This window comes from Homo sapiens, chromosome 2 (genome assembly GCF_000001405.40).
Source record: "Homo sapiens chromosome 2, GRCh38.p14 Primary Assembly".
Lineage (NCBI taxonomy): Eukaryota > Metazoa > Chordata > Mammalia > Primates > Hominidae > Homo > Homo sapiens.
In genome coordinates this window covers 52300461-52316328 of record NC_000002.12, presented here as the reverse complement: position 1 = coordinate 52316328, position 15868 = coordinate 52300461, and the positions used below count along the sequence as shown (strand labels likewise).

The window sequence follows — 15868 nt, the reverse complement described above, 5'->3', positions numbered from 1 at the left end:
GTTAACTGAGAGTAGATAAATTGCTTACAGTTGTACAGCTATCCAGTGGCCGAGCTAAGATGCAGACCCAAGACCATTTGAATGTTGGATCCGTCCTCTGAAAAATAAATGATAGTATTCTGTGAATGGCTTTTGGCTATATAATATTTCTTAGATCAGGTTCTCATGTGTTTGTTGTGCTTTAGGAGTTATTAATCTGATTGATCATCTATTCACTCTCTTGTAGGAATACAAGAATTGTTCAATATCCTGGATTTTGAAACTGAAAAAAAATTATACTGTATTTCTTCTCTCAAGTGCAGGCTAATAGATTTTACAATAGTCTAAGAGGTTCATGTGATTAATCATTTCTATATTTTTCATTTCTAGCAGTAATATTTTCTCTAAGTTTGTACTCTTATTCCAGGAGAGTAGAAGGGTTGGAATCTCTCTCATGATTCTTATTATATCTTCAACAATAAACATTTATGTGGCAATTCTTATATGCAAGATACTATACTAATCAGAATGCAAATAAATTCATGACATGATTTCTGACTTCATGGAGTTCACAGATCTAGTTAAAAGTGACATGAAACCTATATAGAGAAAAGTTAAAAGAATAATATAACACACAGTAAATTTCTACAAAAAAAAAAGGCAATAAATGCTTTAAGAGGTTAAGAGTTGAATCAGTCTGATCAGGAAAAACTTCCTATATCAGGACTTTTATGATTGATCATTACATAAATAAATAATGGTTGTGAGAGGAGAAAACCATTCTAGACAAAGGAAACAATGAGGTACTAAGTGGAGAGTCAGGCTTGTACAAATAATCTTTGAAGAAATTATTATTGCGTACTCCCTATTCTAAAGTAGTGGGGATAAATCTAGATAATTAAGATCTAGTTCTTAAAGGTTGTAACATCTTAAAATGTGGAATAACTCAAGATCTGTAGAATAAGAAGGATAGATTTAAGAATATTGAGCTAGTAGAGAATTGGGAGGAAAGAAACTAAAGAAGAAAAACAATAGAAAGCTATCTATGGTAAAGAAAATGGTTCCAACAATCTAAACGTCCTGTTTATGTCTTTGATAAGCTTATCCTTATTTTCACTTATGTTATTATACTTTTTTACCTCCCAAGGAAAAACATACTGGTGGACAAGAGCATACCCATGAGAGCCAGAGGGTCTGATTTGAACCTCTGTGCGTTAGTTGTCTGTAGTAGATAGAGTTTAACTAAAACATGATGATGGAGGAAAAAATAGTCGATTAAAAGGTATTCTCTCTGAAAGGTTTGTGGACAAATAGGTTCTTAAACTCATCTACTTGTCAACAAAATATGAATAATACGAATATTTCAGACAACTGGAAAACCCTAAGCAACAAAAAGGCACACAGAGCAATCAGCAAGAAAATTAAATACACCAGCTCAAGGCCATGATTTCCAATTTTCTAGTTTAAATTTGATTTAAATATTTCTAACACTCTCAATTAGACAGTTCATCTAAAAGCTGTTGCAGTCCTTTAAGAAATGACAAATATTAGGCCAGATGCGGTGGCTCACGCCTGTAATCCCAGCACTTTGGGAGGCCGAGGTGGGCGGATCACGAGGTCAGGAGTTCTAGACTTGCCTGGCCAACATGGTGAAACCCTGTCTCTACTACAAATATAAAAATTACCCAAGCATGGTGGCAGGCACCTATAATCCTAGCTAATAGGGAGGCTGAGGCAGGAGAATTACTTGAACCCAAGAGGCGGAGGTTGCAGTCAGCCGATATTCTGCCACTACACTCCAGCCTGGGTGACAGAGCAAGACTCTGTCTCGGGGAAAAAAAAAAAAAAAGAAAGAAATGACAAATATTTCCTCATGACAAAAAACACTGATAAAATATTGTTATTTCTGTTACTCATCTCCCCATGACTTGCTAGGCCTCAGTGAGGTAGTTCTAGCTGATTTGCAGAATGAGAGAGAATCCTTTATTTTAATGACATTGAGGTTCAGGAATATTTGTTGTGACAGTTTACCCTAACATAGCTACCCAGCAGCAACATTATATATTAATTTAATGTTTTTTCTTTCCCTCCATCTCACTTTTCCCATATGGCAAGTCATGAGAAGATGCTCCTCTCCTCCCAACTACGTGACTGCAGTTGCCATGCTCACCTCCCCCAGAAACTGGAGATGGTCTAGTCAGTGAGCAAAAGTTCCAAAGTGCTTGGAGAAAAAAGATGAAAAACAATTATATTTGAAAAGAATCTGTACTTTAGTAATATCCCCAGTGTGTCTTGTGCGCATTAAAATGTGAAATGCACTGCTTTAGACCTGCACAGTGCAACGTGGCAGCCAATAGTCATAGGTGGTTTCAAGAATGTAAAATGTTGCTCTCAGAATTGAGATGTGCTATTAAGGGTAAAATATACACCAGATTTCAAAGACTTAGAATGAAAAAAAATATATATATGTAATGTCTCATTAAGATTTTTCTTTTGATCAAATGATATTTTGTATATGTTGAGTTAATAAAATATGTTATTAAAATTAATTTCATCTCTTCCTTCTTAGTTAATGTGGTGACCATAACACTTACAATAACATACGTAGTTCCCATGATGTTTATATTGGACAATATTTTTCTAGACCATCAAATGCCCTGGAGATAAACCTTAAAGAACTTATATTTTCCTTTGAGTTTGCATGTGATTGGATCATGTTTTGTTAGGAGCAAAATATAATTCACATGGTCTTTGACTTTCACTTATCAGATTCTGTACACCTAACATTGTGGTATATCATACATTTTTTATACCTTATTTTATTTCAAACGTTTGATAAGCATCTATTATGATCTGGGAACTGTGAAAACTATCAGGTAGACAGTGAAGAAAATAATAAGGTCCCTTTCTTGAAGTAATTTGTAGTCTACTACATTAAGACAACTTAGTAAAGTATAGTAAAGTGTAATGAGGGCATGCGAAGTATAGCATGGTAAGAGGAAAAATAGGGCTGGGGAATGGAAATAGCTGACAGTCACATTTCTCCGGATTACGAAAGTATTGTAGGCAGGCTAACAGCAAAGAAGATCGTTGCTTAAAATGAACTTTCAAGTGTGCAGGTGAAGATATTCTCTCTGTACCCGGTGAAATCTTTTTTTTTTTTTGAGACGGAGTCTCGCTCTGTCGCCCAGGCTGGAGTGCAGTGGCGCGATCTCGGCTCACTGCAAGCTCCGCCTCCCAGGTTCACGCCATTCTCCTGCTTCAGCCTCCAGAGTAGCTGGCACTACAGGCGCCCGCCACCACGCCCGGCTAATTTTTTGTATTTTTAGTAGAGACGGGGTTTCACCGTGTTAGCCAGGATGGTCTCGATCTCCTGACCTCGTGATCCACCCGCCTCAGCCTCCCAAAGTGCTGGGATTACAGGCGTGAGCCACGGCGCCTGGCCAAATCTTAATATTAAGGTATCTCCTGTTCTCTATTCTTATAGAAACACTAGCCTTACCACTTACCAGATAGCTTCTGAATTGGATCATTTTTTAAAATAAAAACAAAACAGAATTGTATTTTGAGTTTTACTACATGGACCTTGGTGCATTTTTTTGAATGGCATGTTCTCTCAGGAAACAGAGGTCCTTTATTCAGCTGCATTGGAAGTGTGGTGCCTTCAGTCATTCACTGATTGCTGTTCTGCTCATTAGTGGCTCCAGTGTTCTGCGCTGACTAAACTCACAGTGTGAATTATTTTTTGGTGCCTTAGGCAGGAGCATTTAAGGACTGAGGGGAATGTGTATTTCCTACATATGTTTTTATAGTTTCTATAGTATAGTTTTACGTATATAGGGTAAAGCTCAATGTTAGATAAAAAGCTGATGTATTTCCTTTGTGATTAGACATACATATTAGACTTTAGTGAGGATAACTACATTTTCTTTGATTTAGAACATATTTCCCAAAGACACTTAAGCTCTTAAGATAAAAAAAAAAAATACACATTATTATATTTTTCTTTGAACAGATCGTTTGTGACTTTCATCATCAGGCAGGTGACAGTATACCCCTTTTTACACCTAGGTTGAGAGCACCTACATTTGTGGGGAAACTTTAAGCTTGAAAATGACAGGTTTATGCAACATATATGAAGGAAATACGAATATTTCATTTTAAAATACACTTCTTTGGCATGTTTTGAGATGGCTGTTCAGAGAGCCAGTAAGTAAACAGCAGTAGCCCTCCAAAGCTGTCTTTTGTGGGAGAGATTTGCATCTGTAAAGAATCTGCATTGAGGCCAGCAGGCCTTTCTTTGTCTAGATCTAGGAAAGATTTACTGAGCGTCTGGTACGTTTAAAGATCTGAAAGAAACGTTTACTATTTGTTTTCTTTGAAGGCTGCTATCTGTGAAGTTTCATGTATACATCAAGAGCACCTTTGCTACGTAAGCCTCCTCTTTCCCCACTTCCCATAACCTGTCTTGCCACTATCACCTGATTTATCTCCATAACCTGTTTGTGGCCCTGCTGTGATGTCCCCATTTTTTCTGTAATCTCAAGGTGTTATATAAATTTCTGTACCCCTTTGAGAGGTGAGGGTAATCACTGTGGTTCACAGAGCTGATTTTTCAGTGAACCTTCAGAAGGCAAAGAAAGTTTTTCTTTGGCTTCTACATATGCATTAAACATTTTTTAAAATTTGGTCTCCTAAATTTGTTGGTAGATTCTTGGAAAATAGCTTTTATGTAAGTTTTCTCTTACTGGACAATAAATTGCCAAGCATTCATTAGCAAATAGTGGGGAAAGAAATGAGAGATTCAGAAAATTCTAGAAAGTCTACAACAAGTACTTTCCATTCTGGAATAAATACCAGTTAATGTCTCAACCCAGTGACAGCCCATAAGAAACCTTAGATTGGCCTACTCAGAATATTTAGACTCTCCAGGAAGAAAAAACCTATTCCAGTGGTTACAATCAGGAGTTAAGTGCTATGGAAATTCAGAGACTGTCTAGGAAAAAATTGTCCCTGCAAATGGATTTGTGTATGTCCATGAATAAGGGCCAGCTTTGCAACTTTCATTAACTTATGGAAAATAGAGATTCAAATTTTGTGCTAAGGCATATTTATTAGCTCCCTCAAAATGGGGAGGATTTATCTTCCCGTACCTTTTCAAAAGTTACATTTATTTTTAATTCTAATTGTTCTAATTCTCTATATCTAATTTTTAAATTGCCTCAGTGGAAGAAGTGGGGCATTTAAATTAAAATGATACAGAAAAAAAAAATTTTTGACTCTTGGCTTCTGACAGGATGAGCATAGGAAGCTGGCTTTTTTTTCCCAGATCTTAACCTGGGAGATGCCACAAAAGCAAGAAATAAGTTAACAGATCTCAGACCACTGAAACCTAGAGGAGCCCCTAGAGAGGCACAATGTGGCAAGTCCTGATGTCAGATTAGAAGAAGGCCAGAGGCACAAGGACAGACAGAAGAAGAGCATTGTTGTTTTTCCCTTTTTCTTTTCTCCAAATTGCCTGATGGTATCACTCCCCACCTGTCCCATTACTTATAACTTTAAAAAAAAAAAAAAAGAAGAAGAATAACAAGCAAAGTAGAAGGGAGGAGAAGGTGTGGCATTACTAAACTGGCTGTGATGAAGAAGAAGAAAAGGTAGAGATAGAGTGGTCAGTCTTTGTGATTTCTGTCCTTGTCTTTATTCTCTGTGACCGCAGTTGTCCCAGTGCTTAAAACCAAGAGGAGAACTCCCTGGGTGTGAGCAATGCCCAGCGAAGTAAAAAAGTCTCCTGGTTGAGTATGTGTTGAGGCAGGAAAATGGATTGAGTCGATGTGCTCAGATTGTAACAAAAGAGCTTCTCTACATTGAGGAACATTTTCCACACCCACTTTCTGAATTCATCTTGGAATATGTAATTCAGAGTCTGGATGGTACCAATTTTCTGGGCTATATATTCCCAGCCAATGTAGCTGTTATTCCTAAGAGACTATTAACTCAAAGAATAAAATTAGGAAATTTTAGATTTCTAATTTTGTATAATACTAGTAATAATAATAGAAAAGGAAGAAAGGAAAAGAATAGGACAAAAAGTATAAATAATTGGACAGACTTCCCTTGCCAAACCAAAATTAAGCATTAGAAATATCTGAAACATATAATTAAAAATATTGGGACTATGAAAAAGAAGTAAGCAGTCAAAAGAAATAACCAAATGAAAATATTATGTGAAAATTTAAATACAGTAATAGCCAAAAGACAAAATGAATGATAATAAAATACTGAACCCCTGAAATAATTCCAGGTTGAGATGTTTTTATAGATTAGTCTTTGCAAACTCTAAAATATATAATCCCTTTCTCTCACTCATTACACAGAAAAGAGTTTTACTAGATTCTTCAGAGAAACAGAACCAATAGGATGTATATAAACATAGAAATTGATTCAAAATTGGCTTTGTAGTCCCGGCTACTCAGGAGGCTGAGGCATGAGAATCACTTGAGCCTGGAAGGCAGAGGTTGCAGTGAGCTGAGATTGCACCACTGCACTCCAGCCTGGGCAAAGAGTGAGACTCTCAAACAAACAAAAAAAGAATTTAAATTTGTATTAAAATACAAAATTTAAAAATAGAAAAAAATGTAAAGTGTATTAAAATTTATTAAGTTCCAAAATGGTTTATTCCTAGAATGCTAGCATGATATAATGTCACAAAATCTAGTAAGATGACATGTGCATGCACACACATACCCCTTTGGTAGCTAAATTCAACAAAGTAAGTTGCTTAGTTTTGAGTGTTTTCATCATAAGTTGCTATTGGAGATTTATTGAAATTTTTTCAGTATGAGTTGGAAAAAGTTTGTTTTTCCTCCTTACAGAACTTTTGTGGCAAGTCATCTTACTTACAGCCTACTTAAAAGAAAAAATATCTCAAAACATTTCAACTAAAAAAAAAAGGATGTGCATTATTACCACTACTTCTTACAATATACTGAAACTTCTAGACAAAGCATTAAGTCAGAGAAAATAAGAAATAGAGGTATAGGATCCAATAATAATGATTTCTTGATTTATTTTGCTTATAAAAGACATCATAACAGCATGCATATATAAATGTACATAGTCCTATAAATTCAGCAGTTACCCTATCCAAAATCAAATTTCAGAAGTTCACTGTGTTCCAAGGGTATTATTTCCAATATGGCTACATACCCCCTAGCAGACCAACTTGTCCTTATAACTAAAAACAGCAAATAAAGAATTAAAAAGATGACTAGAAGGCACTGGGAGTAGCAGGCAGATACTGAAGGGAAGAAGGGAACTTAGGGAAGAAGGGAACTTATACTCTTAGGAAGGAAATGGCACTGAAAGAGTTTCCCTATGCTTACAGCTTTTAATTTAAGGACAGGGTATAGAATTTCAATAGTAAATGTATTGGTTTGATGAGAAGGTCTAGGTTGTAGAAATCATTGCAACAGCAACCATAAACAGAGGCAGTGAAATCCAAGAAAGAAGAGAGACAGATAAGGGAAGCCTCAATTCTTGATATAATTTTGCTCAAAGTATTGGTTAATTCATGAACCATAAATGCCTGCAGATGACTCCAAGTAGCACAGGTAAGCTTAGAAAAAACAAACAGAAATCACAACACAAAAACTGTTTTGAGTCCCTTCTCATCATTAAAAAAATACTCTTTGGAAGAACATAATAGAATTCAATTGCTAAGACATGTTTTACACAATGCACCGGATGCAATCCAAAGTTTCTCAACATATGTAAAACAGAAAGACAGGAGTATTCACAAAAGACAAGTAATCAATGAAGACAAAACCCAAGACGAATTAGATGTTGGAACTAATATATAGGCATAGAGTGATTACCCCAAGCTATTACTTGACTAGCTCTGCATAATTAAACTCTGTCTACTGCAATACTGTGGTGTCAATGAACTGGTTTTATCTGTGCAGCAAGCAGGAAGAACATGTTGGGCAATTACACTTTCCATTTATTATCAGGAACAAGGCAAGTTTGTACCCCCTCGTGACTCCTATTCAATAGCATACTAGAAGTTTTAGCTAATGCAATAAAACAATAAAAGGAAACAAAAGGTATACATTTTGTAATGGAAGACATAAAACTGTGTTCTTCATATAAGACATTATTGTCTATGTAGACAATCTCAAGTAATTGGCAGCATTCCTGGAATTAGTAAGTGTTTATAGTAAGGTTTCATGATACAAAGTTAATATACAGAATTAAATTGCTTTCTTACAAACCAGCAATGAAAAAATGTAAAATGAAACGAAAAACACAATATATTTACATTAGCAACAAAAATAAAATACTTAGTATAAATATCACAAAATATATAACACATATATTTCCCCTGTATGAGGAAATCTAGAAAAATCTGATTACAGAAATCAAGAAGATATAAATAAATTGGTTAATATTTTATATTCATGGATAGAAAAACTCAGTATTATTAGATTGCCAGGTTTTTCCAACGTGACTTATGGATTCAATGCAATACCCATTAAAATCTCTGCAAGTTATTTTGTGAATATCAACAAACTGATTCTGATGTTTTTAGGGAATAGCAAAAGACCTAAAATAGCAAAAATAACATTGAAGAACAACAAAGATATAGGACTGACCCTACCTGACTTTAAGACATAGTATAAAGCTATAGTTATCAAGATAGCATGGTATTTATAAAATAATAGACAAATAGATCAATGGAACAGAAGAGAGAGTCCAGAAATAGAGTCACACAAATTCACTCAATTGATCTTTGACAAAGGAGCAAAGGCAATACAAAGGATAAAGGACAACCATTTCAACAAATGGTGTGAAACAATTGAACATTCTCATGCTAAAATTTGAAGCTAGACAGAGATCCGGTTGTTTCCACAGTAATTAACTAAATATGGATCAGAGATGTAAATATACAACTCGACATTATTAAACTTTTAGAAGTTACTTTTAAGTAAATGAAAAGACAAGTTATGGATGGAAAGAAAATTTTTCAAAATGTATATCTAATAAGAGACTTGTATCCCAAATATAAAAGACTTCTTAAAACTTAATAAGAAAGCGAACAACCCAATTTAAAAAATGGGCAAATGATCTAAACAAACACTTCAACAAATAAGATATACAAATGCCAAATAAGCATATAAAGAAATGCTCAGCATCATATATAAATAAGAAATTGCATATTAAAACAATAACGTGGGAGCATTATACCCTAGTGAGAATGTGGAACAACAGGAATTCTTATTCATTGCTGATAGGAATGAAACATGATACAGCCACTTAAAACAAAGGGTTTGGCAGTTTCTTACAAGACTAAATATACTTGTCATACAATTCAGCAGTCATGATGTTAAAGTACTTTCTTCAGATTGAAACACATGTTTTCCCCTATACCTATGACTGTTGAATTGATATTTAGATTATGTAATGAATTTTTGAAAATCAAAGAGAAAAGTGAAGGAAATCATTTAGAAAGCAAGTAACTGATATAGTATGCTATTATTATAAAAAGAAATTTTAATGTCCAGAATATATATTATAAGGCTCTTGGACTATTTTATAAGCAGAGAAATGCAAATTAAAAGAATGATATGGCTGTTTTGGCAATCAGAATGGCAGACAACAGAAAATCTGATGTTAGAGAGACTGAGTGCAAATGTGAAACCTCATGTACTGCTGATGGGATTGTTGATTGAGATAGCCACCAAAAAAAAATCATCAAATGGTTAGTGAAATTGAGCACATCTATGTCAATCCCAATATAGATACATAAATCAATATATATAGATTGATAGATATAGATGAATAGTCAAAAAACTTATTGTATTACTCCATTCTCACACTGCTAATGAAGACATACCTGAGACTGGGTAACTTATAAAGAAAACAGGTTTAATTGACTCACAGTTCAGCATGGCTGGGGAGGCCTCCAGAAACTTACAGTGATGGTGGAAGGGGAAGCAAACACATCCTTCTTTATATGATGGCAGGATAGAGAAGTACCAAGTGAAAGGGGAAATGCCCCATGTAAAACCATCAGATCTCATGAGAACTCACTCACTGTAACAAGAACAGAATGGAGGTAACCGCTCTCATGATTCAGTTACCTTCTGCCAGATCCCTTCCACAACATGTGGGGATTATGAGAACTACAATTCAAGATGAGAATTGGGTGGGGACCGAGCCATACCACATCATTCTATCCCTGGCCCCTCCCACATCTCATGTCCTCACATTGCAAAACACAATCATGCTTTTCCAACACTCCACCAAAGTCTTAGCTCATTCCAGCATTAACCCAAAAGTCCAAGTCCAAAGTCATATCTGAGACAAGGAAAGTCCCTTCTGCCTATTAGCCTGTAAACATAAAAGCAAGTTAGTTACTTCCTAGATACAATGGAGGTGCAGGCATTGGGTAAATACACCCATTCCAAATGGGAGAAATTGACCAAAACAAAGGAGCTCCAGGCCCCATGCAATTCCAAAATCCAACAGGGCAGTCAATCTTAAAGCTCTGAAATGATCTCCTTTGACTCCATGTCTCACATCCAGGTCATGCTGATGTAAGAGGTGGGCACCCACGGCCTTCAGCAGCTCTGCCCCTGTGGCTTTGCAGGGTACAGCCCTCTTCCTGGCTGCTATCACAGGCTGGTGTTGAGTGTCTGCAGCTTTCCCAGGTGCATGGTGCCAGCTGTCAGTGGATCTACCATTCTGGGGACTGGAGGAAGGTGGCCCTCTTCTCAGAGCTCCACTAGGCAGTGTCCCAGTGGAAACTCTGTGTGGGGGCTCCAACCCTACACTTTGTTTCCATACTACCCTAGCAGAGGTTCTTCATGAGGGCCCTGCCCCTGCATCAGACTTTTGCCTGGACATCCAGGCATTTCCATACATCCTTTGAAATCTAGGAAGAGGTTCCCAATCCTCAATTCTTGGCATCTGTGAATCCACAGGCTCAATACCATGAGGAAGCTGCCAAGGTTTGGGGCTGGAACCTTATGAAGCCATGGCCCTAGCTGTACCTTGGTCCCTTTTAGCCATGGCTGGAACGCAGAGCACCAAGTCTTGAGATGGGACAAAACACCAAGGCCCTGGGCCATGCCCACAAAACCATTATTTCCTCCTAGGTCTCTGGGCCTGTGATGAGAGGGGCTGCTGGAAGACCTCTGACATGTCCTGGAGACATTTTCCCCATTGTCTTGGTGATTATATATGTTTGGCTTCTCATTACTTATGCAAATTTCTGCAGCAGACTTGAATTTCTCCTCAGAAAAAGGGTTTTTCTTTTCTTTCGCATCCTCAGGCTGCAAATTTTCCTAACTTTTATGCTCTGCTTTCCTTTTAAACATAATTTCCAATTTCAAACCATCTCTTTGTGAATGAATAAAACTGAATGCTTTTAAGAGCACCCATGTCACATCATGAATGCTTTGCTGTTTAGAACTGACTTCCACCAGATACCCTAAATCATCTCTCTCATGTTCCAAGTGCCACAGATCTCTAGGGCAGAGGCAAAATGCTGCCAGTCTCTTTCCTAAAGTACATGATTATAAAGAGTCACCTTTGCTCCAGTTCCCAAAAAGTTCCTCATCTCTATATGTGACCACCTCAGCCTGGACTTTATTTTCCATATCACTACCAGTATTTTGGTCCAAGCCATTTAACAAGTATCTATGAAGTTCCAAACTTTCCCACATTTTCCTGTCTTCTTCTGAGCCCTCCAAACTTTTCCAGCCTCTGCCTGTTACCCAGTTTTAAAGTCGTTTCCACATTTTTGGGTATCTTTACAGCAGTGCCCCACTCCCAGTACCAATACTGTATTAGTCCATTCTCATGCTGCTAATAAAAACATACCTGAGATTGGATAATTTATAAAGGAAAGAGGTTTAAGTGACTCACAGTTTAGCATGGCTGGGGAGTCCTCAGGAAACTTACAATCATGGTGGAAGGGGAAGCAAACATGTACTTCTTCACATGGTGGCAGCAAGGAGAAGTGCAGAGTGAAGGAGGAGAAAGCCCTTTATAAAACCATTAGATCTTGTGAGAACTCACTATCACAAGAACAGCATGGAGGTAAGCACCCCCGTGATTCAGTTACCTTCCACTAGGTCCCTCCCATGACATGGGATTATGGGAACTACAATTCAAGGTGAGATTTGGGTGGGGACACAGCCAAACCATATCATTAATGAACATGAAAATAAGAATATGTACAAGCATGTTCACTGTAGCACTATTTGTACTATCAGGGATTTGGGCACAATTCAGAATGTGGATGAGCATAGTCTGAGGAATATGTGTAACTGGACACTATACAGCAATGAGTTTTAATATATTGATGCTAATGTTTTGACATAAGTGTACAATATTAAATATTAAACATGGAAGATATTAACATGGTGTTCATTAAAAACACCATTTTTAATAAAAAAATACATGCAGAGAGTAAAGCTTTTTTCAGGAAAAATATATTGCTAAGAAATTTATTAATATATTTGAGTAGTGAAGGGATTGTAGTAGCAATGACATTGAGAGGTGAAGGGGAAACACAATACAATAAAACAAGATATTGGGGTGTGTGGTAAACTAATTCATGCATTTACTTTTCTATTCAATAATTATTTAATGAATGCCTTTCTAGGATCAAGCAGTGTTGTAGGCAATGGGAATACAGCTCTGAAGGAACAAGCAAAAAACCGAGAAAGACAAAAATATACATGTATATAGGCCATCCAATTAAAAAAAAAAAAAAACTGTTCCAAGACTAGAACATGAACTTCACAAAACAACATTTACCCTAAATTGCTGATATATATGTGCTTAACTTATTCTTTATGGGAAATGCAAATGAAAAACAGAATGAGATACTAATACACCCCAACTAAAATGACTACACTTTTAACAGCAATTGACAATACCAGGTATTGGTGAGGCAATAGATGAATTTCTTTTACGTTGCTAGGGAGTATGTGAATGTGACAGTTTGCACTAAAATTAAGTAATGCTTACACTATGATCCAATAATTAAACTCCAAAGTATATACCTAAGATACATAAATGAGTTTTTCCAGCAAAAGAGTTGAAAAGGAGTGTTCATAGCAGCTTTATTCATAAAATTCCAACTAGAAGCAACCAAATGCCATCAACAGGTGAAAGGTAAAACAAATAGTAGTTCATTTTTGTAAAATAGTAGTATTCATTCAATGAAACAGCAATTAAAAGAAAAAAAGAAGGAACAAATACTGGTGCCTGCAACAACATGTTCTATTTCACCAATAATATATTCACTGAAATAAACCAGACAAATAGAACACAAACTTCATGATCCCAGTTATATGAATTTCAAGAAGCAACAAAACTAGTAGATATTCATAGAAGTCACATTAGTGACCTCTGAGGGAATATGAACTGGCAAGACTCACAGTGGAAATGTATGAAGTGCTGGAAATATTGTACATCTTCTTGGGGTGCTTGCATGTGTTTGTGTATGCATTAGGTGCACAGTAAAAAATCGTATATCTCATAGACTTTATTATGTATTATATAATAAGTTTTATGATATATATAGTATAATGTGTATTATTATATACAATTATTTGATAATTAAAATACATTATTTTTTATATTTATTATATATTTTATATATGAGACAGAAAGAGAGGAGGGGGTATTAGTGTCATTATTTCATGAATTTGTCCTAGAAATGAAAAATAGGCATATCGTTAATGTAATTATTCAACAGATATTCCATCTATTTTATTCTTAAAAACACATCAAATTTCTCCATTATAAGTACATTTAGAGAATTTTTTTCTAGTTTTCTTAGGAAGGTTTGATATTGTAGCAGGTTTTTTTACTCCATAAGAAATGTCAGGAAGATTTCTATGTGTTGGGTTATATACAAAGATGAGGGTATAGAAAAATAATACCAAAAAGATAAAGAAAAACTATGCAAAAAAGGAATTTCAAAAATATTAAAATTTATGCATCAAAGCTGTGGGTTAGGTCATTGTTAATCACCTTAGTATAATTTCCTTTTAATTTTGCTAGAAATCAGTGTGTAGTTTTTTAGAACTATCCTGTGGACAATTAATAACAATACCACTAGAAATAGCAGAAAAATTCAAACACCTTTATATAAATCGAGACCTTGTGTGAGGATTCTACCCAGAAAATTATAAAATTTTATTGAGAACAATTAAGCAACACCTATGTAAACTAGGTTATCTTCTGCTTATTTATTGGAAGAGTCAATATTGCAATTCCAAGTCTCAATAATTGATCTCTAGAAAAGCAGAATTCCGGCAGGGCGCGGTGGCTCACGCCTGTAATCCCAGCACTTTGGGAGGCCGAGGCGGGTGGATCACGAGGTCAGGAGATCGAGACCATCCCGGCTAAAATGGTGAAACCCCGTCTCTACTAAAAATACAAAAAATTAGCCGGGCGTAGTGGCGGGCGCCTGTAGTCCCAGCTACTTGGGAGGCTGAGGCAGGAGAATGGCGTGAACCCGGGAGGCGGAGCTTGCAGTAAGCCGAGATCCCGCCACTGCACTCCAGCCTGGGCGACAGAGCGAGACTCCGTCTCAAAAAAAAAAAAAAATAAAAAAATAAATAAATAAATAAATAAATAAATAAATAAATAAAGAAGAATTCCAATAAAAATCTCTGCAGATTTTCTGCTGCATGGAAATTTATAATTTGGTCCTAAAATTTACACGGAAATGCAAAGCCAAGCATAGCCAAGTCAATTTTGAAGAACAAAGGTAGGAAATTTACACTGCCATATATCAAGGATCTACTGTAAAGCCATAGGAATGGGAACAGTTTACTACTGACACAAGGTTAAATGAATTAAGCCTTGGAACAGAGTACATTATAGAAACAGACTCATACATGTATATTCATTTGATTTAATTTTAAAAAGTAAAATTAAGGGAAAACTTTTAATATGTGGTGCTGGGTTGAATAGAAATCCATAAAAGAAAAAATAGCTGTCTGGACTACTTCACATCATATGCAAAAATAAATTCTTACTGGATTTTTCCATGCAAATGTAAAATACAAACCATAAAGCTTTTAAAAGCATAAGAGAAGATAAGCAGAGCTTTCTTCAACAGGTTGCATAAAAGTGTTATCTATGGCAGAAAAAAATGATACAGAGGACAGTGTTAACATGAAGGAACCTTGTTCATCATAGATTCCATTAATATAATAAAAAAGCAAGCTGCAGACTAAGAGAAGACATTTTCATTATATGTATTTGTAATTCCTACACCAGGAATTACAGTTATTCTATAAGTCTTATAAATCAATTAAAACAGAAAGAAAGTCTAGTAGAAAAATAGACAAAAGTCTTCAAATAACAATGCAGAATTTTCAGAATGAAGAGAAGATATGTCCCATTGCCAACTATATATTTACATTAAAGTGTTAATGATGCTTTTAAATTCTCTGATCATCTGGCACCATATTCTATGAGTTATAGACAGTATGTTTCTCCTACAAATATAAAATGATTTGCTGAGATGCGAGTCTTCTCAACACCCTGCTCAGTATGCTTTTTTTATTGTTGTTCTTGGGGTTCCTTTTCTTCCCCTTGCCTGATATTCCTTACCTCTTTCTCTTCCTCTTTGCATAAAAACATTTTTAAAATAAGTGCAAGTATTCACAGAACTATTACTATATATCTTATATAGTGTTCATACTTAAATAGTAAGTCTTCTCATTCTTCCTCATACAATTGAGGAACAAAAAATTCACTGAGGTTTGTCTCCTAGCCCCAGAGCTTCCAAAAAGTAGAGATGGAGTTCCGTCTGATTCTAGGAACCTTGCAGTATTGATGTGACTGCCCTGATATAAGT

The 15868-nt window shown here is 35.8% G+C and overlaps 1 long non-coding RNA gene across 1 annotated transcript in view, besides 1 other annotated feature; it reads right to left on the bottom strand.

Moving 5' to 3' along the window:
* The window catches only part of NRXN1-DT (NRXN1 divergent transcript), a 1375317-nt gene that overhangs the window by 91589 nt on the left and 1267860 nt on the right, over window positions 1–15868 (bottom strand). Inside the window, exon 8 of the long non-coding RNA NR_135237.1 lies at window positions 29–97. This is a non-coding gene — a long non-coding RNA (NRXN1 divergent transcript). The remainder of the gene's footprint in view (window positions 1–28; window positions 98–15868) is intronic.
* Window positions 3769–4739: an enhancer, noted in NCBI's record as "OCT4-NANOG-H3K4me1 hESC enhancer chr2:52538728-52539698 (GRCh37/hg19 assembly coordinates)". NCBI's record gives its function as "activates a minimal SCP1, AML or CMV promoter by ChIP-STARR-seq in naive and primed H9 embryonic stem cells {active_cell/tissue: H9 hESC(naive and primed)}" and the evidence as "EXISTENCE:reporter gene assay evidence [ECO:0000049][PMID:30033119]".